The 24,923-nt window shown below is 38.1% G+C and overlaps 1 protein-coding gene, 2 long non-coding RNA genes and 1 other non-coding gene across 9 annotated transcripts in view, besides 3 other annotated features; 1 reads left to right on the top strand and 3 right to left on the bottom strand.

The window, feature by feature from the left end:
* Positions 1–11,594, bottom strand: part of MINPP1 (multiple inositol-polyphosphate phosphatase 1) — a 48,569-nt gene extending 36,975 nt beyond the window's left edge. For 2 of the 6 annotated variants that reach the window (NM_004897.5, XM_006718078.4), the window contains exons 1-3: positions 10,935–11,594; positions 7,954–8,151; positions 3,266–3,363 (exon numbers count right to left, since the gene is read on the bottom strand). In NM_004897.5, coding sequence (NP_004888.2) covers positions 3,266–3,363; positions 7,954–8,151; positions 10,935–11,571 — 933 coding nt within the window. In that variant the 5' untranslated portion in view covers positions 11,572–11,594. Of the gene's footprint in view, positions 1–1,608; positions 1,727–3,265; positions 3,364–7,953; positions 8,152–8,248; positions 8,655–10,934 lie in introns of those variants that run through there. The other 4 variants (XM_011540379.4, XM_017016965.3, NM_001178118.2 and 1 more) reach the window with 4 other exon arrangements.
* Positions 11,315–11,374: an enhancer, noted in NCBI's record as "active region_3708". NCBI's record gives its function as "activates an Ori minimal core promoter by ATAC-STARR-seq in GM12878 lymphoblastoid cells {active_cell/tissue: GM12878}" and the evidence as "EXISTENCE:reporter gene assay evidence [ECO:0000049][PMID:35858748]".
* Positions 11,535–11,624: an enhancer, noted in NCBI's record as "active region_3707". NCBI's record gives its function as "activates an Ori minimal core promoter by ATAC-STARR-seq in GM12878 lymphoblastoid cells {active_cell/tissue: GM12878}" and the evidence as "EXISTENCE:reporter gene assay evidence [ECO:0000049][PMID:35858748]".
* Positions 11,653–17,880, top strand: LOC112268064 (uncharacterized). The gene is made up of 2 exons (XR_002957094.2): positions 11,653–12,152; positions 15,669–17,880. It is a non-coding gene; the product is annotated as an uncharacterized LOC112268064 (long non-coding RNA).
* MIR4678 (microRNA 4678) lies at positions 12,533–12,606 on the bottom strand. Its single transcript, NR_039825.1, has one exon. It is a non-coding gene; the product is annotated as a microRNA 4678 (primary transcript).
* Positions 15,485–15,869: a transcriptional cis regulatory region, noted in NCBI's record as "candidate enhancer chr10.3228 targeted for multiplex CRISPR interference". NCBI's record gives its function as "positively regulates MINPP1 gene expression with high confidence in K562 cells {active_cell/tissue: K562}" and the evidence as "EXISTENCE:mutant phenotype evidence [ECO:0000015][PMID:30612741]".
* A 6,177-nt stretch (positions 17,881–24,057) lies between the features above and the next one.
* Positions 24,058–24,923, bottom strand: part of LOC112268063 (uncharacterized) — a 62,306-nt gene continuing 61,440 nt past the window's right edge. Inside the window, exon 3 of the long non-coding RNA XR_002957093.1 lies at positions 24,058–24,683. This is a non-coding gene — a long non-coding RNA (uncharacterized LOC112268063). The remainder of the gene's footprint in view (positions 24,684–24,923) is intronic.

Below are 24,923 nucleotides of genomic sequence, written 5' to 3'. Positions count from 1 at the left end.
GGCTATGTCTGGATAAATCCATTGTAAGTCGTAAATGTACTTCCAACTTAAGATATTCAATCTACCATGGGTTTATCTGGATGCAACCCCACCATAACTTAAGGAGCATCTGAGTATACTTCTATCACTGTATAGACATCCTATTGTCTTGCAATGGTTTAGTTACATGTCTTTCATTCCTTGTGGCATTCTTTGAGGACAATATCTATCTTATGTTAGTGTCTTTAGTTCCAAGCAAGTGCTTGTCACAGAACGGAAACTCAAAAAATGCTTGCTGAAGGTACACAAAGTCCAGGATATCTAATTATCTCAGAATTTCATAAATGTCTATTAATTTTTAATTGTAAAAAACATTCTTGGCCAGGTGCGGTGGCTCACACCTGTAAACCCAGCACTTTGGGAGGGTGAGGCGGGCGGATCACTTGAGTTCAGGAGTTCGAGACCAGCCTGGCCAACATGGTGAAACCCCGTCTCTACTAAAAATACAAACATTAGCCGGGCATGATGGCACATGCCTGTAATCCCAGCTACTGGGGAGGCTGAGGCAGGAGGACTGCTTGAACGCAAGAGGCAGAGGTTGCAGTGAGCTGAGATTGGGCCACTGCACTCCAGCCTGGGCGACAGAGGAAGACTCTGTCTCAAAAAAAAAAAAAAAAAAAAAAAATTCTTAACAAAGAACTTTAAACACATAAAAAATATAAAACAGTAGTATAACGAACCTCTGTGTACTCATCCAACTTCAACAATAATCAACATTCAACCAATCCCATTTCAGCTTTGCTCCTACCACCACCACTGTATTATTTTGAAGCAAATCCCAGGTATCATTTTATTTCACCTGTAAATACTTCAGCATATAAACCTATTTCACAGTGAAAGTCCTAAGCAGGGATAAATTATTTTCTAACAAATTGCTGAAGTAAATAATAGAAAATACCTCAATCAAAAGACAACCTTAATTTTTAAAAGAAGAATTTAATTTCTTTTCACATGTAAAAAGAAACTATTATTCAATTAATTTAATAAACATGTATTTAAATTTTCAAGTCACAGTCATTTAAATTAGAAGTTCTTTTTTTTCCTTTTTTCCTTTTTTTTCTGAGACAGAGTCTTGCTTTGTTGCCCAGGCTGGAATGCAGTGGCACAATCTTGGCTCACTGCAACCTCCACCTCCTGGGTTCAAGCGATTCTCCTGCTTCAGCCTCCCGAGTAGCTGGGATCACAGGTGTGCACCACCACGCTTGGCTAATTTTTTAATTTTTAGTATGGACGGGGTTTCACCACATTGGCCAGGCTGGTCTCGAACTCCTAACCTCAGGTGATCCACCCGCCTTGGCCGCCCAAAGTGCTGGGATTACAGGCATGAACCACCACGCCCGGCCAAGAAGTTCTTTATTTACAAGGAAAAAAAGTACCTCTACAATAAAGAAATCAGGCAGGCACCATTGTAATCTAATGATCAAACATCACTGGCCAGGAGTGGTGGCTGATGCCTGTAATACCAGCACTTTGGGGGGCCCAGGCGGGCAGATCACCTAAGGTCAGGAGTTCAAGATCAGCCTGGCTAACATGGTGAAACCCCATCTCTACTAAAAATAAAAAAATTACCTGGGCATGGTAGCACACGCCTGTAATCCCAGCTACTGGAGAGGCTGAGGCAGGAAAATCACTTGAATCCGGGAGGCAGAGGTTTCAGTTAGCTGAGATTGCGCCACTGCACTCCAGCCTGGGCAACAGAGAGAGACACTGTCTCAAAAAAATAGTAATAATAATCAATGACATGACAAGCAGACATCAGTCCTTCTGATATGATGCACTGAGAAGGATATATCACTTACGTAGTGCTCTTGTCAAAAATGTTTAATCTGAATCTAATCCTGAGTAAAAAATATCAGACACATCCAAAAACATTCTGCAAAAAACCTGGCCTAGACTCTTCCAAAACGCCAATGTACGAAGGACAAAAGAAAGGCTGGAGCACTCTTTCAGGTTAAACGAGACTAAAAGAAATGCAACCAAATGCAATGAATGATCCCTTATTAGATCCTGAATCTTATAAAACAAAGCAAACAAAAAACAGCTATAAAAGACTTAAGACGTGAAAATTTGAAAGTTGACTGTACATTAGAAAATATTGTGATATATATGATATACATAAATATGAACTATAGTATTCTGTATTGTGGTTATACAAAAGAATGTTCTTGTCCTAGATGCATGCCCAAGTATTTAAGGGTGAAGCATCCTGATGGTGGGGCGGGGAAAAAAAGATTATATACACACGGTAGACAGAAAAAACAGCTCCCATATGTCCACATTCTAATCCCTGACATCCTATGAATATGTTACCTTACCTGATAAAAGGGAATCTGCCAGTGTGATTAACTTATGAATCTCGAGATGGAGAGATAAATCCTGGACTATCTAGGTGGGCCCAGTGTAATCAACAAGTATCCTTACGAGAGGCAGGCAGGAAGGACAGTTAGAGCTGGAGATGTACCCGTCAGAAGTCTGAGTGATAGGAAATGCAAGCAGCCTCTGGAGATCAGAAAAAGCAGGGTACAGATGTTCTCCTAAAGCCCCCTGAAAGAATACGGCTCTATTGTATACGGCTCTATTGATACCTTGATTTCAGCCCTGTAAGATTCAATTTGAACTTCTGACCTCCAGAACCATAAGATAATAAACTTATATTGTTTTAAGCCAGTAAGTTTGTGGTAACTTGTTAGAGCACCAATAGGAAACTAATATAGTAGAGAGAGTGATAAAGGAAATGTGGCAAAAAAGGTTAACTGGTAAATATAGGTGAAGGACATACAAGTGTTCACTGTAAAACACAGAACACAATTTCCCATGAAAACTGTTATAAAATAGTTGCTAGGACTTTGGAAACCCATTTATTCTCTCTGAGCTTTGGCTTCCCATAAAAAGAATCTGGGATTATATCAGCTCTATAATCCCTTCCAAGCAGTAAAATTTGATGATGGGTTAAAAGTAGGTCTGTAAATGGGATGATTTAGAAATCAAATCATCATGGAAAAAATGTTTCCAGAGTTTTTTGAACCTAAACTATTTACAAGTAGGTGGGACCAATTTGAACCTTTAATCTCTCTTTATTTAAGGAAAATTAGGAGTTAGTCACAAAACAGTTTATGTTCCCTAACTACTCATTTTCTGAAAAGCTGCTTCAAGTAACCAAATGCAAACAAGCAAGCCAAAAAAAATTTTTTTAAAAAAGCAAAGAAACTGCAAAAATAATACTTACCTTTGCATCATCTATGTCAAAAACATCACACCAAGGAGATTTAACACCTTTAATTGCCAGGTCAAATGAACAGGTGAAAAAGGCTACTTGAATTAAATCTGGGGGGAAAAAAAGGTAAAATTTTGTGGGTCATTATTTTCTGCAATTTTTCAAAGGCTAAATATCTGTAGAATGCCATGTGTGGTACAGCTCAATAAAATGGACATCTTCAGTTTGGGGAAGAAATAATTTAGTTTCTTCCTGGCTATCAAAGAATTAAGAGACTTTCTCTGTGTAATTTAAGGGTGCAGAACTGAACTATCAGGAAGAAACCATGAGGAAGTATAAATTTCAGCCCAATAAAACTAAGAAATTTTCTGTAATTGGTAACTTTTTTCTGCCTTTTTTTTTTGGACAGGGTCTTGCTCTGTTGTCCAGGCTAGAGTGCAGTGGTGATCACAGCTCACTGCAAACTCGGATTCCTGGGCTCAAGCAATCCTCCTGCCTCAGGCAATTACTTGTTAAGAGCATATTTGCCTAGCAATATCAACAAAAAGTATAACCCAAGGACTTGCTATATAAAACTTAATATGATTTTGTTAATTTTAGAGGGTTCAAGGAGGGGGGCTAAGGTTATAAAGGTTTTAGTACCCGACTTGAAAATTACAAATAACAAAGTACATTTATTAAACAGTTTAAATTATACAATTCATTTTATAACTAAGAAGCAGCAGTAAGTACAGAAAAGATATAAAAGGAGAGAGAAGACTACAGAGATGGAGAGGGAAGGAAGTGCAAGGTAAGTGAGGGGGAAGGAGAAAGGAGAGACAGCCAAGGAGGAGAAGCACAAAAAGGGAAAAATCACACACTAAAGAGAGAAATGTTGGTACCAACATGAGTTTTTCAAACTTAGCTGCTCAAATGATTTCGGAAGTGGATTTCAGAATAAGTTATCTAGCATTTTTACACTGCTAATTTGCTGATTACATTACTTTGAGATACATATGGGTATTGAAGAGAAGTGATAAGGGAATGAATGCTTGGGCTATAAAAAGTAGCCTTTGTTAGTAAATAAAAACACTGCTGCTCTCTAGTCAATGAGAAGTGGGTGATATTTAATGCTAGAGAGAAAAAAAAGTCAACTGCAGTGGTTGCCTCCATTGCTTTGATTTTTCTTTAATTTTACTGCCTTTCCTGTTTTCCTAAAGGAAAATGGGACCAAAAATCAACTGGCGTTACATGCATTTTGCACTAGTTCTGAGTTTAAAGAATTCCTGAGGCAGTATATAATACAAAAAAAATGTATTTCATTGGGAATATACAGAAAAGCCATTCAAAACTTTGCTTACGTAAAGAAAAGGTTTTATAATCTCAATACCTGATACAATATAGTGGCTTGTAAGTACCAGGTACATTTGATGAAAGGACCTGGCTTATTTACACTCGAAGCTCTAATTCTGAAACTATGAAGTCAGTCCACATGGTATATTCTTAAACCGGAAGAGAGTTTACCAGAAAAAAAAAATTCACCAAAAAACTCTTCAGAGTACAGGGAGAAAAAGCATCAGATGAAGACAGGCTGAGACCTGACTTTACCACTAATTATCCTGGGTAAGCTCTCTTTAGTGTCAATTTCCCCACTTACAAAGTAAAGAGGTTAGATACACTATCTTATTTAAGTTATAGCTCTGACTTATCTGTTATGACCCTTCTGATTTCGTGGTCAATCTTTCAGAACCTCAAAAATATTTCAGGTGGATAAGAAATTTAAATATTTAAAAAACGAAATAGACCCTTTCCCTCCACTCCCCTGAGAAAAAAATAAAACAACAAAAAAGGAAGACAATAGGAAAACATAATAATCTTGCGGTGGGAGGATTCCTAGACAAAATACAACACTCAGAAGCCATAATGAAGAGACAGATATGGCTATGTAAAAGATGTAAACTTCTGTGCAATCAAAGGCACCATCAACAAACCTAAGAGATAAGCAAGAAATTAAAATATTAGCAACATACAACAAGCAAAGGGCGAATCCTTTGTCAGGCAGAATTAAAAGATATAATTAATATATCCATAATACATAAAAGGTATTTGTGATTCATAAGAAAACAAAAATAACCCAATAGAAAATGAACAAAATTATGAAGGGGTAATTTTTAGAAGAAATGCAAATGGCTACTAAACATGAAAATATGTTCACTTTCAGAAGTAATCAAAGAACTGCAAATTAAAGCTAGATACTATTTTTCATTAATCAAATTGGCGAAAATTAAAATGACTAATAATATCTACTGTTGGAAGATATGGGAAAATGAACATTCTCATATACTGTGGATATAAATTTTTACTACACCTTCAGAGAACAATTTAAAAATATATGTCAAGATGTAAAATATTCATGTGTGTTAACCCAGCAATTTCACCTATTTATCTTTAAAAAACATTTTTAGAAATCTATTTATTTATTTGGAGACCAAGTTATAAGACTGGCTAACTTTTGTGTCTTTGATAGAGGCAGGGTTTCACCATGTTGCCAAGGCTGGTCTTGAACTCCTGGGCTCCAGTGATCCACCCACCTTGGCCTCCCAAAGTGCTGGGATTATAGGTTATGCCACGGCACTCGGCCTCACCTATTTTATCTTACAAATAAACTCTCAAGTGTAAAAAACAGACTACAAGAATGTTCACTGTAGCATTACCTGAAAGAGTTAAAAACTAAGAAAAACTTCAGTAGGAAAATGGTTTCTATAAAAAGAATTTGGACTGCATTAGCAACAGCCTCTTACAGCAGTAAAATTCGATGATGGGTTAAACAATTTAACTAGCATTGACTTACAAATCGAGTCATTCATATGTCCCATGAAATAACACAGGATTTAAAAGAATGAGACAGTTCTATATTTGTCTAGAGACAAATATATTGTTAAGTAAAAATAGTAAGTTACTGAAAATACATATAGCATCACCCCCTATGTAAACAAAAGGGTATTTAAATAGCAAAAGTATTTATTGCGCAATTACTGCGCCAGGTACTAAATGCTTTGTATGAATTAATCTTATATAATCTTTGCAATAATCCTATAAGACAAGAATAATTCCCATGTTCATTTTACAGAAAAGGAAACTGTGGCATAAAGACATTAATAAACTTGTCAAAAATCATAGTTATTCAATAGGATAGTAGAGTCAAGATTCAAATGCAAATAGTCCAATTCCAGAATCCATTATTTTAACCACTATACTTAATACTGCTTCCAAAAAGAAGTTGCTGTCAGTTACTTCATCAGTAAAATACATAATTCTTGCCCATTCAGAGACTAAACATAGTTTTAAAAAATCTTTTTCAACAACCTAACTGCCTACTAACAGAATAATGGCTAGATATTGGTATAGATGTAGAATGAAATACATACATTTAAAATGTAGGACTAGAATTGCAAACATTACATCAAAAACAAAAAGTTGCATAAAAATAGAATTTTGGACTGGTATAAACTTTGATACCACTCTTAAAAGTTTTAAAATCTGCAAAACAATATCCCATTTATGTATAAAACTGGCATGGGATAATATAAATGCTCAATTCATGACAACAATTACCACTGGTGAGAAAGGAAGAAGAATGGGATCCAGGAAAGGGACCAGTAGACCTCAATTTATTTAAGGCAAGTAACTGAAGCACAAAGTTAAAATTTAGTAAAACCAAGTTGTGGGTATAGGGATGTTCACCACATTAGCCTTTTTTGTTATCTTCGTGTTTGAATTATTTCCCAATAAAGTAAATAATTTTTAAAGCTCCACAGGCGATGCCAATGTACTGCCAGTTTGGAGAGAGAGAAAAAATTCAATTTCAAATGCTAGTCTAGGCATCTTCTTTTTGATCCTTATAAAGCATCCAGGCCCTGTGACTGATAAATTCTAATCTATTTTTTCCCCAACATCTACTTCCAGTCTTTTGGAAATTAATTCAGAGTATAATGTAATCTACAATCTTTGCATGTATCTTTGTCAACATCTACCCTATGGAACATAAATTCCTAGAAAACAGAAAAAAATCTTATTTTCTTAATCTCCCATTGCTAGGTGACCATGTGCCATGGTTTCCCACCTGCTTTCCTGGCAAAATTATTAATAGTGTTCCCTTTCACTTTCGAAAGTGTCCCACCAGTTTGGATGGTAAGTTGCATAGTCAGCCCATCCACTGCAATAACTTATGATAGACATGACTGCTCATCTTCTCAGCATTGCTACATATAACTCAAAAAACATCATAGTACTTTGCTTTTCACTTTCTAAAACTTACCCCTCTTACACATTAACAGGTACTTTTGAACTGCTTCAAAAGCTAAAGAATTTATATGATTTTTCCATTTGTATCACTTTATCAGGGGGAAATTCAGAAAAGATAATTTGTTTTAAAAATAATGCCTACAGTTGAGGCTTTATATTACTCTGCCCTCAAAAAAACTCCAGAATATAACTAGAATCTTGTACAGTAATTTAAATAACACTCAAAGAAGAATATGAATCTAAAAATGGTAAATAGTAAGCACAAGGTATACAATTTTTTTGACCCAGAACATATTATTTTCTTAATGTAGATCAATTATGGGTCTTTAAAAAAGACTGTTTCCTTATGTTTTCATTTTCACAGTTCAAAATTATTTAAACTGTTAAGTTCAAATAAAAGACAACAGACATATTACCTGCATTTAAATCATTTACTGGCACTTGCAAAGTAGCTGCAACTTTTTTTAAAATGTTCTGCATTTCTGGTCCAGTTTTGAAGGCTTCCACGTGATAAAGAGCTGTAGCATTTTTTTCTACTTCAGTTAAAAACTTCTCACAGTGATCAAAAAATCTCATTAGTTTATCATTAACTGTTGGAGGTCCAAACTCCATATCTGAAAGAGAAAAAAATTTATATGTATTTGTAAATCACTGACATAAATGACAGTTTCAAATTATTGAAAATGTTAAGTGTGAAAAAGGAACACTAACATCTTACTAATCCGCACAGCTGAAATAAGCACATATTGGTCAGGAAACTCTTGGGGTAAAATTATTCCCCATTTATAATGGCTGTAACGCATGAGAATAGCTAGAAAAGGCTAAAGAAATAGAGATTGAAGATTAAATGTGTTGTAGAGATGCTACGCAATGAAATTGCATCATACATTAATAAGTACTGTTTCTGTCAGGCACGGAAAACTTTAGAAAGCAAACTAAAAATCAGCAAAGTTTCTACTTACAAGGTGAGAGAGAATTCAACATATGGAATCTATTTTTTCACTCTAAGCCAAAGTCTAAACAGAGTATTTTATTTTCTCAATTAACCTTCCCAACTCTGTATTACTTTACAAAGATTCTGCTTTGGACAAAAACTACTGACAGCAGCACAAAACGCACTGATGTTTTGGGTCTCCTGTGCTTCACTGTGCTGGGCCTGTGAATTGGTTTATCTTTTAACTGAAGCCCCAGATAACTTTCTATATAAAATTTAATAAATTACATTATGCCCCCAATTGGGCAACAAATATGTATTGGAGAAGCATTCATAATCATGCTTCAACTACTGGTGTGCCCTTTACGTTTTTTTCAGTCATATTCAAAACACACATTTTTCAATCATTTCTCCAACAATTTACCACGAAAAGAACACCAAGTATATCATTTTTGTACATAAAATATGAGAAAATTGAATATAGTTTTATCTGGGCTTTGGATGTGTATGCAAAAAAAATCAGTATGTATGTTTGTTTCTCTTGAAATGGATAATTCTGCCCACTTTGTCAACTGGATTGCAATTCTTAAGAAAATATCTTGACTAGGAAAATAAGCGAACTTTGTCACCTTTTTTCTGTGTACACTAAAATATAATTTCCCAAGTGCATCTGGGTATTTTATCCTTGTTACTATCTAATTATTGCTAGTCTTTAAACAAAAACAAAGGCATTGTTCTGTTTCTACAAAACTACAAATCTAATTCAGCAGACTCCCTCAAAAGACCAGATGTACATAATAGGCAAAACTATTGTCTATAGAGAATAATAAAGTGGCTAGGCAAAGGGTTTGCTATCTGACACTGAAAACGGTCAGGAGTGGGCTTATTCTGAACTGTAGTATTTTCATCCCTGGCTCTGTACTGAGAGTCAAATGCCAGTCTTCGCAATGCCATCTGAGAACAAAAATTCACTTGTTCCAGGAAGTCGCTATAGATATTGTGTTATATTAAAATATGTTCTGCTTTCACCATTCTGTTAATTTAACAGATTTATGAGGAATTTTCACTCATGCTAATGGAAAAAGTATATATTTAAAAAAAAACACAGTTCAACAAGTAATTAGACACAAGTCAGCTAACTGAATTACCCACAATAACATGACACAGAATCAGTGGAGAAATCCCTTACAGATGGTTTCACTGTTCAACAGCTACAGAAGAAATTACAAACCAGCCTACTTCTAATTTTTCACTTGGGCTTTGAAGCTAAACAATAATCCTCACTTCAATTCTGGCCTTAAAAGTGATCAAGAAACTATTAATGCTTGCTCATCTCTGTGGTACAAAAATGTTACATGTTTTTATTCTTATTAGGTATGTTATTGGACAAATGGAGGCAGTATAGCATAATGGCTAAGAAAGCAAGCTCTGAATCAGATTTCCTGGGTCCACAGCTAGCTGTATGAAAATGGGCAAATTATTTAATGTGTTCGTGTATCAATTTCCTCATCTTTGAGATAAGGGGAAAATACTATCAACTCCAGATTGTGGTTGTAAGGATTTTGTAAAATAAATGTGAGGCATACCTGGCATACAATAGGCATGAGGTGTATGCTATCATTATTATTTGTAACTATTACAACATTTTCTAAGAGAAAAAGAACCATTCTAGGAAAACAGAAGACTTGGATACTAGACCTTAGAGAAAGACAATTAAGAAGGCATACTCTTGGGCTCGGGTTCTTCACCTGTGAAATAACGGGGCCTTACTAGATGATTTCTCAAATTTCGAAAAAGTGTAATTAATGGAATAAATGAGTTGTTACTGCTTGTGACCACGGACCACAGCTACAACGATGGGAACGCTACAGTAAAAACATGAACAAAACAGAAGAAAAAAGGAGGACACAAAGGCTTGAGATCAGGTTCCTAAAACAGGGTGTAGGTCTAAAACTGTCATCTGAAAAAGATGATGAGTTTAAAAAAAAAAAAAAAGAAAGAAGGAAAAACTAGTATCGGAAGCAAAGCCCGAGGAAGAAAATTCTAGATTCTGTTTTTTAAAACGTGCGCCCAATTGTGAAACTAGACGCCAGGGAAGGGGGAAGGGATGGGTTGGCGCTCGAAGGGGCAATTCAGTTTGGGAACGGGAGCGCAAAAATTGCGGGAGACCTCGTCTGTCCCCTTTCCTGTTGGATCCCCAACTCTACTAAAGCAGGCAGCGAGTACAAGGTGCTGAATTTACACCTGATGAATTAATAAATGAACATACGTGTAAGGGGAAAAAGAGATAGCCAAGTCTGTAATATCCCTCGACAGGGAGGACGTAGCCCGAGGGATGATGGCTTGGGAAAAGAGGAAAGAGAACTGGGGGGCATCGGAAAAGCCCAGGGTCTGGGGGAGGCGGGAGAGCATCCAGGGCGGGTGGGAGGACCGGGACAGCACACGGGCCGCCCGGGGGGTCACCTGCGACGTCCGGCGGCGGCAAGCCAGGGTGGTAGTGCTGCCACAGCCCCTGCAGGAAGGCGGCGCTGCTATCCATGCAGCGGTGCTTGGAACTGGTGATGAGCCGCAGGCGGCCGTAGTTCTCACGGCTGAAAAGGGCCGGGAAGAGCGAGGCCAGACGCAGCGCCAGCTGTCGCATATCCTGCCGTCCCTTCTCTACTAGCTGCCCGTCCATCCAGTCCGCGTACCACAAAGGCCAGTCGGCCAGCGCTGCACCCAGGTCGCGGCTGCCGGTACTACTAGCCCCGCCATCCCTGGACCCGCGGGCCTGCAGCAACCCGTGCAGCTGCCTCAGCTTGCGGATCTGTTTGACCGTGGGGTAGCGGGTGCCGTGGCGAATGAGGGCGACCAGCTGCACCGGGGTGCAGGTCCCCTCCAGCAGCTCAGGGTCCCGCCACGGAGCCTCGGGGCCCGACAATAGCACGGGGTTGACATCCTCGTAGCGAGTCTTGGTGCCGAAATAGGGGCTGAGCGACGAGGCCACCGGGTCCCTCGGCTCTAGAAGAGAGCAGCGCGCAAGCGACGAGAGCAGCGCCGCAGCCAGGGCCGCGGCAGGCGCTACGGAGGTCCGGAGGAGGCAGCCGGGCGCGCGTAGCATCGTCGGGACGGTCAGTGGAGTGCGCCGAGCCAGCTGCAGATGCCCAGCTTCCGGCTCCGGAGGGCAGGGGGCGGGTCTGGAGGGCGCTTCCGGCCGGCGGCCCTCGGGATGCGCTTCGCTGTTCTCTAGGAGGTACCAACCTCTGGCGGTGGGTCTTGCGTCCCGGCGGAAAGCTCCGAGGAGTCCTGTAGACTTGTGGCTCGGGTGGAGCCGGCGGAAAACCCCGAGAAGCTTGAGACAGCCGTGGCTGAGGTGGAGCCGGCGTCGCTGCCCTGGAGCGTGGGCGAGTTTCCTCTTAGCCGGAGCTTCAGGGATTGACTCAAAGACTCCTCCGCTTTTTTAGTTGTTTTGGGTGTGAATACAGCCCGGACTAAACCTTAGTCGCCTAGACTAAACCTTAGCCTCCCAGGCTGCCAAAACAGCACAGCTTTTACAGATGACTCTTACATCACCATCCCTACTCTGTGATACTGTGTTTTTCAAAGTTTAGTGCCTGAACCATCAGCATGAAATCTGCCTGAGACGGTTGTTGAAAATTCACATCGCTGGGCCTTGCGGCAGGATGCCTCTTGAAGCCCAAGGTTTTTGTTTCGTTTTTTTCCATTTGAGTTTGAAAATAAACAGGATACAGTAAAGCAGAGAACTTGGAAAGGGGCTTACATTCTGCAGGAATTTAAGTCCTGAATCTTTGGTATAATCTTGACCTGGACTACCAGAGCTAACGCCGACATCAGTGAGACAGCACCCTAAAAGTTCTGTGCTTGTTGTTCCCGAAGGCTTAGCGAGTAGAGACATAGCAATCTAGAGAATTTGGGTGCATTGAGTCATGGCCCAACAGATTTACTCTATTATTAAGTATGAGCTAATCTGCTTTGCGAAGCAAACATGCTCTGTATTTACCACCACTCCAGATCCATACGTTCCTCCCATGTACTTACTTACATACTCAAATCAAAAGCTGGGTTTTTTAATAGGTTATTGCTCAGAATCTTTGACCCCAAAAATCATAAGTCTGAACAATACCTTGTTTTTTCCCACTTGAACTCCAGTTTATTTGCCAGCTGGGGAAATAATAAGTATTACAGAAGTCGTACGGTGATCCAGATTTAAGGAAATTGGGACCACGTTTTCATTAAGTTAGCTTTTGCTTCAAAGACACTATTACATTGCTCTTTATAAGCCCATCACCATCTTTACTCCTTTTCTCTTTAAGTGTCTCCTTGGTTTAGAGAGGTGTTCCTCTAAGTTTAGGCGTGCCTCTAAATGTTAACCAAGAAGAAACGGGGCCAGCCTATGAATGCTGAAAATTTGGAGACGTTCTGTGCAGGAAACCATCTTTAGGGCAACAGATGTTCTTTTCGATATGCTATTTTGTAGCATGTCAATGCCTGAATATTCATGGTCAGTGATATTTTTGTAGAACTTTGCTCAAATTAGCATTTAGTAAATATCCGCTCCTTCTTAAAATAGACATTCTAACCCGTATGCTCTATAGGCTGAGTCGCCTGATAATATTTCTAAGTGCATTCAGCGAGCATTTGTTCCAGGTTCATCTCACTGTATTTTGCCTAATACATATGCTTACTAATAACTTCTCACACCCAATCTTTTGAGTCCTAGGGGTTACCAAGTGTTCCCAAAGTCATTATTCACTTCTTCCTTATGAAGCAATCTTTAGAGACTCCACTTACAAAATGTATGGCACAGTACACATTTTTATACATGAAATTTGCCCCTAGTTTGATTTTATTTTCCTTATCTAATTCCTCATCAATTAATTTTATCCTGTTTTATACACTTAGGTATATCAGCTCCTAATTATTTTGATGTTATGCCAAGATAACAATGATAAAGTAAAAGTAAGCAATGCCTCCATGTTTTTGGCTAGGAAAAAGCCAAATATAAAGAAGACGAAGAGTGCTTAAGCTTTGGACCCAGACTCTAATTAGCTCTGCTGCTTATTAATTGAGTGACCCAAGTTCTCTGGGCCTTAGTTTTTTTTTTTTATCTGAAAATTGGTAATATTAGAACCTATATCATGGGATTATCATGACAGAGATGATGTATTTAAAATCCATATGATAGGCCGCTATAAATGATATTTTTATCATTACTAATGTTCAGTGTGATTATTCCTGTGCTAAGATGCCTAGCTTTCTAGCAATTACATGGATTACACTTACTCCCACTGAACATTAAAGTGAATGACTTTCACAGGCAACACATGCATCAAAGATCATTTCATAACTTTTCTAATAATAAAAATCCACTCATTTCACTTAAAATGGATATCTTGTTCTTAGAGCACTAAGCAGCCTTTGAAAAAATTTAAAAAGGTCACAGGCCGTGCTCCTCATTTCATGCCAGACCATGTCTGAATTATCTGGGCACTCTGTAAATTGGATGCCCTTTGACATAGGTGCCCACTTGGTCCAATCATGTAGTACAGAGAAGTTTGCATAGTGCGAAACATGGCTATTCCTTTGCAGAGATCATGGGAACATCACCTCCCCTCATAAGAAATTGTGGGTATGGGAGCAATATATTTGGCAAATCTAACACAATACAAGAGGCAGAAAGGAAAATTAATGGTTCAAGGTCCTTGCAGAGATGGGAGAGGACAGAACCAAAAACACAGGTAGAGAATTTGATTTGGGCCAGAAGGAGATGAGACCTTATCTTCTAAGAGAATGTTAGAAGGATGGGTGAACATGGGGATAAATTTGTAGATCTGGCAGGAGAGAGTTCATAGAATTCAAGTCTGATGGCCTCAGTTTCCACAGTAACATAGGAGACAAGTTTGAAAGATGGGGGAATAGGAATTAAGTCTTGAAATGTGAAAATGGTTTGGATTTGCAACTGAGAGAAATGGGAAAGTAATGGGAAAGGATTGACAACTAAGAGGAATGGGAGAAACAAGTAGAAGTTTGTATGGTCAGCTCTGGAGATCCAACTGAGAATGAATTGCTAGTGGTTCTGCAATTTTATTTAGAAGCAAACATTATCTGTTGTATTTTTTCAGAGTGGAAAAGAAAAAAAGTTTAACTTGATGGTCCTACATTAATGGGTCTTGAGTAGAACTTCATTTCTAATCAATCCACTATACGAAAGGATAAGCTCAATTATTTTTGCCAGATTATCCATAGGATTTCAAAAATAGTCATTCAGCTTTTAAGATTGCATGGTGTCAGCCAGGCACAGTGGCTCATGCCTGTAATCTCAGCACTTCGGGAAGCTGAGGTGCGTGGATCACCTGAGGTCAGGAGTTCGAGACCAGCCTGGCCAACATGTTGAAACCCCATCTCTACTAAAAGTACAAAAAAATTAGCTGGGTGTGGTGGTGGACGCCTGTAATACCAGCTACTTGGGAGGCTGAGGCAGGAGAATTGCTTGAACTTGGGAGGTGGAGGTTGCAGTAAGCTGAGATCACGCCATTGCACTCCAGCCTGGGCAACAAGAGTAAAACTCCATCTCAAAAAGAAAAAAAAAGATTACATGGTGTCATATATAGTATTTTAAGTTAACAGCCATCTACTTTACTTTTAAAGAGGTTACTAAGATAGTTTTCTGGGGATGAAACAATAAAGGAAAGGAAACAGCTAAATTCTGTAGGGAAACAGCAAGGCTCTCTATGTAAGCATATACAATACTAAGAACATGGTCTCAGAAGTTAGACTTTCTGGTTTTCAGATTCCAGCTTCATCTCTTATTACCTGTGAAATATTTAAAAAATTAAATTATTTTGCCACCATTCTTTTTCATTGTAAAGTGGGGATAATAATACCTAGCCATGAGACTGTTGAGAGGATTAAACGAAACAGCTTATATAAAGACTTTATATAGTTTCTGCCCCCAAATAAATATCAGTTGCTTTTATTAAGCAGAATTAAAGGGTTTCTTATTATCACGTCTCTCTTAAATAAACTGACAAATAGTTTTTCATAGATATTTATTATCTCATAACTACATTAAGCAACGAACTTTGTGCCTATGCCAGGAAAGTTTGAGCTTTCTTATCTTTCTGCCCTGCTGTTGCATCATTCCTCTTTTAACAGTTGCCAGATGTTGATTTAGTGTTTATTGGCTTTTTGTTGCAGTGGAAGCCAACAGAAGAGGGGTCCATGTGTACAGATAGGCCTGGAGTGATCCATGTTCCAACAGCAGTCCCTTTAACCTCACTTGAATGTGGAGGCTGCACAGGTCACAAGTCTGAAGACTACAAGCTACCTTTGCTTAAAAGGAACCACACCACCGCTGATAGCTAACTGCTAGATTGTTCTCCAGCATATCAGAGCTACATTGAATTGCTTGAGTTGTGCTTCAATTAATGTAGAGATCTTCACTGAATCGCACATAACCATTGAAGTAACCTGCTGTTTACAGTCTCTATCATGCTCTGCCAAGAGAGTTATTTTACAGTGACAAAACTTCTCTTCTGGTGCCCTGACACATCCTAGGACTTTGATGTTGGTAATTCTTTCCCCTCAGCAAATGTTGGTTCTAAATCCACAGAACTACTTGAGAAACTAGATGCAAAATTGTAGTAGGTTTAAACTATCAATACTCTTTTTTTTTTTTTTTTTTTTTTTTGAGACAGAGTCTCTCGCTCTGTCACCCAGGCTGGAGTGCAGTGGCGCGATCTCGGCTCACTGCAAGCTCCGCCTCCCGGATTCACACCATTTGCCTGCCTCAGCCTCCCGAGTAGCTGGGACTACAGGCGCCCACCACCACGCCTGGGTAATTTTTTGTATTTTTTAGTAGAGACGGGGTTTCACCGTGTTAGCCATGATGGTCTCGATCTCCTGACCTCTTGATCTGCCCGCCTCGGCCTCCCAAAGTGCTGGGATTACAGGCGTGAGCCACTGCACCCGGCCTATCAATATTCTTTATATGTTTTGCTATTCCCATTTAAAAGAGGGAAACTGTAGCTATACACTTTCTAGTCATGTTCTTTGGTGATTTTCCTGCACAAACCAACACTGTTGTTCAGAAATATAATTTCCCCTAGAATTACCCTCCATCCAAAACATATTGTTATTCTATCACAGAGATAAATAATGGCTTTCCAAATCCTGGTTAAAAAAACCAAACACTCTCTTCTTCTCTGTATTTTTACAGAACAGGCATAGATGATGGCAATTGTGTTTTACCATCTTTTTTTTTTTTCTGAGATGTTAGTTTTCTAGGATATGGAAATCTTAGGATTCATAAAAAGTGAAACAACTTTTTGAAATGTTAGTTTTCCAAAATTGGACAATCTTTTTGAGCCATTCTATTTTTAGGACTATTGGTTAGCTGACTTTAGAGCCTTTAATGTTTCCTTATTATTTCAAACAATAGAGAACTTTCTTCCCCCCCACGTTTTGAGACAGGGTCTGGCTCTGTCACGCAGGAGGCTGTCTGTAGTGCAGCGGCACAGTCTCAGCTCACTGCAACCTCCGCCTCTTGGGCTCAAGTGATCCTTCCACCTCAGCCTCCTGAGTAGCTGGGACTGTAGGTGCAGGCCACCACATCTGGCTAATTTTAAACAATAGAGAACTTCCAAAACAAAAGTTCTTTATTAATTCTTCAAGAAATCTGTTTTTTACTTAGTCAATTAATGTCCATTTCATGTTGCCTCAATAGCCCATGTATGAATCACTCTTCTTGCAGATTTTGTTCAGTTTTGTTGTATGTAGACCCATCTTTCTTTGATTGAGTTGGTTTCTTTGATTGAGTTGATTTGTCTGTATTATATATCAGTCAGTATTAAAACCCAAACAATACCTAAGCCAAAAAAGCAAGGTAGGCACCTGTGAACTCACACACTTGGTTGCAATTGCTTCAGTAAAAAGGACAGTTTACACTCAAATTGAAGCAACCATTATGTTTCCACAAACAACATTCCTTATTATCCCACCTCACCTTTTCATTCTTCCTATGCTGTCTAATCTGATTCGGTACAAGAGATAAGGCAGGTACTGCTAAATGATAACTTAGATGCAGGGGCCATCATGAAAATATTCATCCCATATCTTACATTAAGCAAACTACTAGCAACTGTTTGTTGAAAAGTATAAATGAATAAATGAAAATAGGACAGATAGGCAGTGTGGGAAGCTAAAATATGGAAGTGTTATTGCTTTGCTTTATGTGGTATAATGATCTGACTTTATCTTCCCAGCTCTCCCAGGAAGTATGCAGAATAATATTTATCTCATATTGTGGATGTGGCAATCAAGACAGAGAGGCTAGATGCTTTACCTAAAGTCATCCAACAAATATTTGGTAGAACCAGTGCTAGAATGCAATAAATGGAAACAGAGTTTATTTTTGTGTTTCTTTTCCTAATACTTGCCCTATTCCTGACAAATGAATAATGGCTTCAGAAGGTGTCACTTGTTGCTAGGGCTAAAAGGATAAATTTTACCTGTAATACCGTACCACTTACTATTAGTTAACGACCCAGTATTTATTCTCTTTTTTTCTTTGGAATCTTTGGAATGTGTAAATATTTGCCTCCCGGGAAGCTCACTTTATCCTCTCCTCAGGAAAAAATCCTGATTTGGTCTGAACCAATCTTGGTAACTATCTTTCTTGCCAGTTTTGTTTTAGGAATGGGCACGCAACTCAGTTCTAGCCAATGAGATATGAGGAGCAGTCTACTGGGGAGTTTCTGGGAAAGTTTGTTTTTCTTGTCCTAATAAGCAAACAAGTAATGGGGTCACTGGATTGGAGATCCTATTGAGTCAAAGGAATATTGAATTTGACACAGTAAAATAGTCTGGAAGGAAAGGAAATGATATTCAGTAAATGAAATGCTGAAAATTGATATTATGAAGGTGGCACAGTAGTTGTTATTGATTAAATGAAACAGTTGAGATTAAGAAAGTTTAGCCAGGACAAGTTGTATAGCACAAATCATTTCAGGTAAGGAAGTTAAAAAAAAAACCCTGAGAGGCTAGGAAGTCCTGGCTCCAAACTTCTGCTCCTGCTGGACTTGAGCCCCACTAGCTTCTCATCTTCCACTAATCTATGCACCCCTCCTTTCCCACTCCTCAAAAGCCGAGCTCACTCAACAACTTTAATTTTATTCAAATAAATTATTTACACAGACATTTTGTTTTTAGTAGATGTTATTAGTGATTAGGAAAAATGAAAGAGATTGACATCTTTCAATTGACAGAGATGCCAATAATTTTAAGTATAATTTTTTAAACACTTTGTTCTTAAAATGAGAAAGAAATGCAAGGAAGGGATCACTACCCTGGGTGTTAGCATGTCCGAATATGATAACTAAACCTGCTGCAATTATCTTGCAACCAGGGAGGAGCTAGCTTGAAAATAAAGCCAACACAGTTAGATGACAAGCAGAAAGTGGAAAGAACCTAAGTCATTGATGATGCTATTCAGCTGATGAATTAAACCTGGAGTGTATGTTCCATGGGCTTCTGTAAGGAATTAAAATATTTTTACTGTTTAAACCAGTGTTTCATTGTTTTCTGCAGAAATCCTAATTGGCATAAAGAAACTATTGACCGATTAACCCCACTGCAACCTCACCTGACCCCTTAGGATGTCCTTTCATGCTTTTCTTGATTTTGTTGAAGTTATGTATTGAGAATAATGGAAAATCACAGAAGGCGATTTTCTGATCCCAACTCCTTAGCTATGACCTTGTGTCTCTAGCTCATGATCATGGTTTATGAAGCACGGGAAGGACTGGGAAAAGTAGAAAGTAGGTAGGTAAGATGAGATGTCTGATGATGGAGGTTATTGGGGTCAGGACAGGTGGGTAGGCAAGGTGAAGTGTGTAAGCTAAGCAGGAAATGCAAATGAAAATCAGAGAGAAGGTACCCCTTCAGAACAGATTCTTAGAAAGCCATTATTAGGAACATATGGGCCACATCTTTGAGGAGAGTTGTGGAATTCACATTACAGTAATGGCATCACTTAGATTCATGCTCTTCTCTCAGGGAGAGATATCAATATTTATAGGATATCAAAGGGTCTTCATCATGTGTCTCAGTCTGTTTTTATTGCTATAAACAAATACCTGAGGCTGGGTAATATATAAGGAAAAGAGGTTTATTTGGCTCACACAATTCTGCAGGCTGTACAAGAAGCATGGCGCCAGCATCTGCTTCTGTTGAGGGCCTCAGGAAGCCTCCATCATGGTGGAAGGCAAAGGGGAACCCGTGTGTCACATGATCAGGGAGGAAGAGAGCAAGAGAGGGGAGGAAGGTATCAGATTCTTTTTAACAATAAGATCTCATGGGAAGTAGGAGTGAGAACTTAATCCCGTGAAGACAGCACCAAGCCATTCATGAAGGATCTGCCCCCACAACCAAAACACCTCCCAGTGGGCCCCACCTCCAACATTGGGGATCAAATGTCAACATGAGATTTGGAGGAGACAAACATTCAAACTTTATCATTGTGCTTGTTTTCTTCAGAAATAGACCAAATTGATATGTTTCATGATGACATTATGATCTAAAAATGAGAGTTTATTTCAGTTTGTCCTGTATACACCCAAGAGGTCCAGGATATTATTCTGTCTGTCTACCACAAGTCCTGCAAACTAGAAGATGGCCTTAACATTCAATCTAGGGTGGTTCTGCCCAATGACCTTTTGTCTTTCCTCAGTGTCTTCCAAAGCACATAGTGATATTCTATCATGAATTATATGAAAGCTGTTTACATGGATTAAACAGTAAATCTGACAAACAGGCTGCTTTTTGATGACTCTAGATATATTTATTCTTACATCTTAGACATTTGAGAAAAAAATCAAATTTCTTAATACTTTATGTTCAATTGAGTTTGAAGCCATAAAGAGGAAGGAAATAATAAGGATTAGAGCAAAAATAAATGAAATAGAGAATAGAAAAACAATAGAATCAATGAAACAACAAATTAGTTCTTTGAAGAGATCAACAAAGTTGACAAAGCTTTAACTAGATTAAGGAAAAAGAATACTCAACTACTAAAATCAGAAATGAAAAACACTACTACTGATTTATAGGAATAAAAAGGGTTGTAAGAGAATTCGTATAAGAGCTATATGTCAAAAAATTGGATAACCTAGATGAAATAGACAAATTCCTAGAAACACACAAACCAACAAAGTTGACTCAAGAAGAAAGAATAAATCTGAATAGATCTATAAAAAGTAATGATATTCAATTTTGGTTGAATCAGCAACCAAAACTCTCCTAACAAAGAAACGCCCAGGAACTGATGACTTCGCTGGTGAATTCTACCAAACGTTTAGAAACGAATTAACACTAATCCTTCTCGAACTCCTCCAAAAAGTTGAGAAACAGAACCCTTTCTGAGTCATTCTATGAAGCCAACATTACCCTGATACCAAAGCTAGACAGACAATACAAGAAAACTATAGCCAAATGTCCCCTATGAATGCATTATAGATACAAAAATCCCCAACAAAATACTAGGAAATTAAATTCAGCAGCCCTTAAAAGAATTTTACACTATGACCAACTGAGATTTGTCCCAGAAATATAAGAATGGTTTAACATATGAAAATCAGTCGATGTAATACACCAAGTAATAGAATGAAGGAGTGAAAAACTCATGATCATCTCAATTGATATAGAAGAACATTTGAGAAAATCCATTCCTCCTTTATGATAGAACTGTTCAACAAACCAGGAATAGAAAGGAACTGTCTCAACATGATAAAGACCATGTATTAAAAACTCACGACTGACATCATTCTCAATGGGGAAAAATTTCAAGCTTTTCCACTAAAATCAGAAGCCATGGATGCCTGTGTTTGCCACTTCTATTCAACATAGTATTGGCAGTTCTAGCCAGACCCATAAGGCAAGAAAAAGAAATAAAATAAATCCAAATTAGAAAGGAAGAAGTAAAACTATCTCTATTTGCAAGTGATATAAGTGTAGAAAGCCCTAAAGAATACCAAAAATAGCCTCTTAAAGCTAATAAACAAATTTAGCAAAGCTTCAGAATACAAAATCAACACACAAAAATCAGTCGTGTTTCTACACACTAGCAGTAAAAGATCTGAAAAGGAAATTAAGAATTTTTTATTTACAGTAGTACCCAAAAGAATAAAATATTTAGAAATCAATTTAACCAAGAAGGCAGAAGACTTGTACACTGAAAACTACAAAGCATTCTGGAAAGAAATTAAAGTAGACTTAAATAAATGGAAAGAGATCCTGTGTTCATAAGTTGGAAGACTTAATATTGTTAAAATGACAACGCTACTCAAAATGATATGTAGAGTCAATGTAATCATGCTATTAAAATCCCAACAGCGCTTTTGGCAGAAATGGAAAAACCTATTCTAAAATTCATATAAAATTTCAAGGAACCCAAAATAGCCAAAATAATCTGAAGAGGAACAAAGTTGTAGGATCACATTTTCTGATATTAAAATTTACTACATAGCTATAGTAATTGAAATAGCATGGACTTGGCACAGAGATAGACAATATAGACCAATGGAATAGAATCGAGAGGCCAGAACTAACACTCACATCTATGGGTAATTAATTTTCAGCAAGGGTTCCAGGACCACTCAATGGGGAAAAGGACAATCTCTTTAACAAATGGTGTTGGGGAAACTAGATATCCACAAGCAAAAGAATGAAGTTGGACCTATACTTTTACACAATGTACAAAAATTAACTCAAAATGGATCAAAGACCAAAATTTAATGCTATAAAACACTTAAATATTAAATGCTATAAAACTCTTAGAGGAAAACATACTGAAAAATCTTCATGACCTTGGGTTTGACAACGGTTTCTTAAATATAACATCAAAAGTACAAGTGATGAAACAACTGATAAATTGGACTTCATCAAAATTGTGTATCAAGTGACACTATAAAGAGAGTGAAAAGATAACACAAAAAATTGGAGAAAATGTTTGCAAATCATATATCTGACAAAAAACTAATATACTCAGGCATTTCTTTATGGCAATGCAAGAATGGCCTAATACAATACCCAAAAGAATTGAACGCATAAAGAATCCTACAACTCAACAAATAAAAGATAAATAACTCAATTTTTTTAATGGACAAAAGACTTAGACACTTCTCTAAAAAAAAGACATGTAAATGGTCAATAAGCAACTCAAAAGATGCTAAAACCACAATGAGATACCACTTTGTACCTACTAGAATGGCTATAATTAGAAGAAAAAATAACTAGTGTTGTTGAACATGTGGAGAAATTGGAAACCTAGTATACTGCTGGTGGGAATGTAAATGGTTTAACTGCTGAGGAAGATAGTTTGGCAATTCCTCAAAACGTAAAACAGAATTATCACCCAGTAATTCTACTCTTAAGTATATACCTGATATAGTTTGACTGTTTGTTCCTATGCAAATCTCATGTTGAAATATAATTAATCTCCAGTGTTAGAGTTGGGGCCTGGTGGGAGGTGATTGGATCATGGGAGTGGTTTCTCATGAATGGCTTCACCATCTCTAGCTGTCATCAAGATTGTGAGTTCTCACAAGATTTGATTGTTTAAAAGTGTGCAGCACCTCCCCACTTCCTCTCTTGCTCTGGCTTTTGCCATGTGACATGCATGCACCCACTTTGCCTTCCATCATGATTGGAAGCTTCCTGAAGCCTCCCCGGAAGCAGATGCTGCTATGCTTCCTGTACAGCCTGCAGAAATGTGAGGCAACTAAACCCTTTTTTCTTTGGAACTTACCCAGTGTCAGGTATTTCTTTATACCAATGCAAGAATGGCCTAATACAATACCCAAAAGAATTGAAAACAACAACTTAAACAGTGACTTGTACACTAATGTTCATAGCAGCATTATTCACAATAGACAAAAGGTAGAAACAACCAAAATGTCTATCAAAAGATAAATGGATAGGCCAGGCACGATGGCTCACGCCTGTAATCCCAGTACTTTCCAAGGCCAAGGTGGTCGGATCACCTGAGTTCAGGAGTTCGAGACTAGCTTGGCCAACATGGTAAAACCCTGTCTTTAAAAAACAAACAAACAAACAAAAAGATAAATGGATAAACAAGATGCAGTATATACATACAATTATTATTCAGCCATAGAAAAGAAGAATGGAATACTGATACATGCTATAAGATGGATGAACCTTGAAAACATTATGCTAAGTGAAATAAGCTAGACACAAAAAGATAGTGTATGATACCATTATGTGAAATATTTACAATAGGCAAATTCATAGAGACAGGAGGTAGATTAGAAGTTACCAGAGGTTACCAGAGGCTGGAAGGAGAGGAAAGTGGGAGTTTTTGCTGAATAAGCACAGTTTCTATTTGGGGTGACGAAAGGGTTTTGGTAATAGATGGTGGTAACGGTTGTACAACATTGTAAATATAATTAATACCACCAAATTGTACAGTTAAAAATGATTAAAATGGCAAATTGCATATGTCTTTCTCTGTTTGTGTTGCTATAAAGGAATACCCAAGGCTGGGTAATTTATAAAGAAAAGAGGTGTATTTAGCTAATGATTCTGCAGATTGTACAAGAAGCATGGCACTGGCATCCACATCTGGTGAGGGCCTCAGGCTGCTTCCGCTCATGTCAGAAAGGGAAGGCAAGCCAATGTGTGTGGAGATCACATGGTGAGAGAGGAAACAAGAAAGAGGAGGGTAGTGCTAGGCTCTTTTAACAACTAGCTCTTGGCCAGGTGAGGTGGCTCATGCTTGTAATCTCAACACCTTGGGAGGCTGAGGTGGGAGGATCTCTTCAGCCCAAGAGTTCAAGACCAGCCTAAAAAAAAAAAAATCCTGTAAAACCTAGCTCTCACAGGAACTAAGAGACCAAAAACTCACTCACCTGCAACCCAGGGAGAACATTAATCTATTCATGAGGGATCTGCCCCATGAGCCAAATACCTTCCATTAGGCCCCACCTCCAACACTGGGTATCCAATTTCAACATCAGATTTGGAGGGTCAAATACCTGGGCTACATACCCTTGTCTCTAGAAAAAATATATAAAATTTAGCTGGGTGTGGTGACACATACCTGTAGTCTCAGCTACTTTGGAGGCTGAGGCAGGAGGATCATTTCAGCCCAGAATTTCGAGGCTACAGTGAGCTATAATCAGGCCACTGTACAACAGCCTGCAAGACAGAATGAGACCCTGTCTTTAAAAAAATAAAAATAAAAATAAATTAATTACTTTTAAAAAGACCTTGTATTGCAAGTTGGTAAACATAAGTACATTTGTTGGGACTATGAAATTATTCACCCACAGGATCAATGTTACAAATTGGTATTTGCATCTCAATTTAGTTTGTTCAACCCAGAATTCACATTTGCCATAAAACTGTAGTCAATAATTCAATTAAACTACTGATAAC

The sequence above is a fragment of the Homo sapiens genome, chromosome 10 (assembly GCF_000001405.40).
Source record: "Homo sapiens chromosome 10, GRCh38.p14 Primary Assembly".
NCBI lineage: Eukaryota > Metazoa > Chordata > Mammalia > Primates > Hominidae > Homo > Homo sapiens.
Note: the sequence above shows the minus strand (reverse complement) of the source record. Positions and strands in the feature narration are given on the sequence as shown.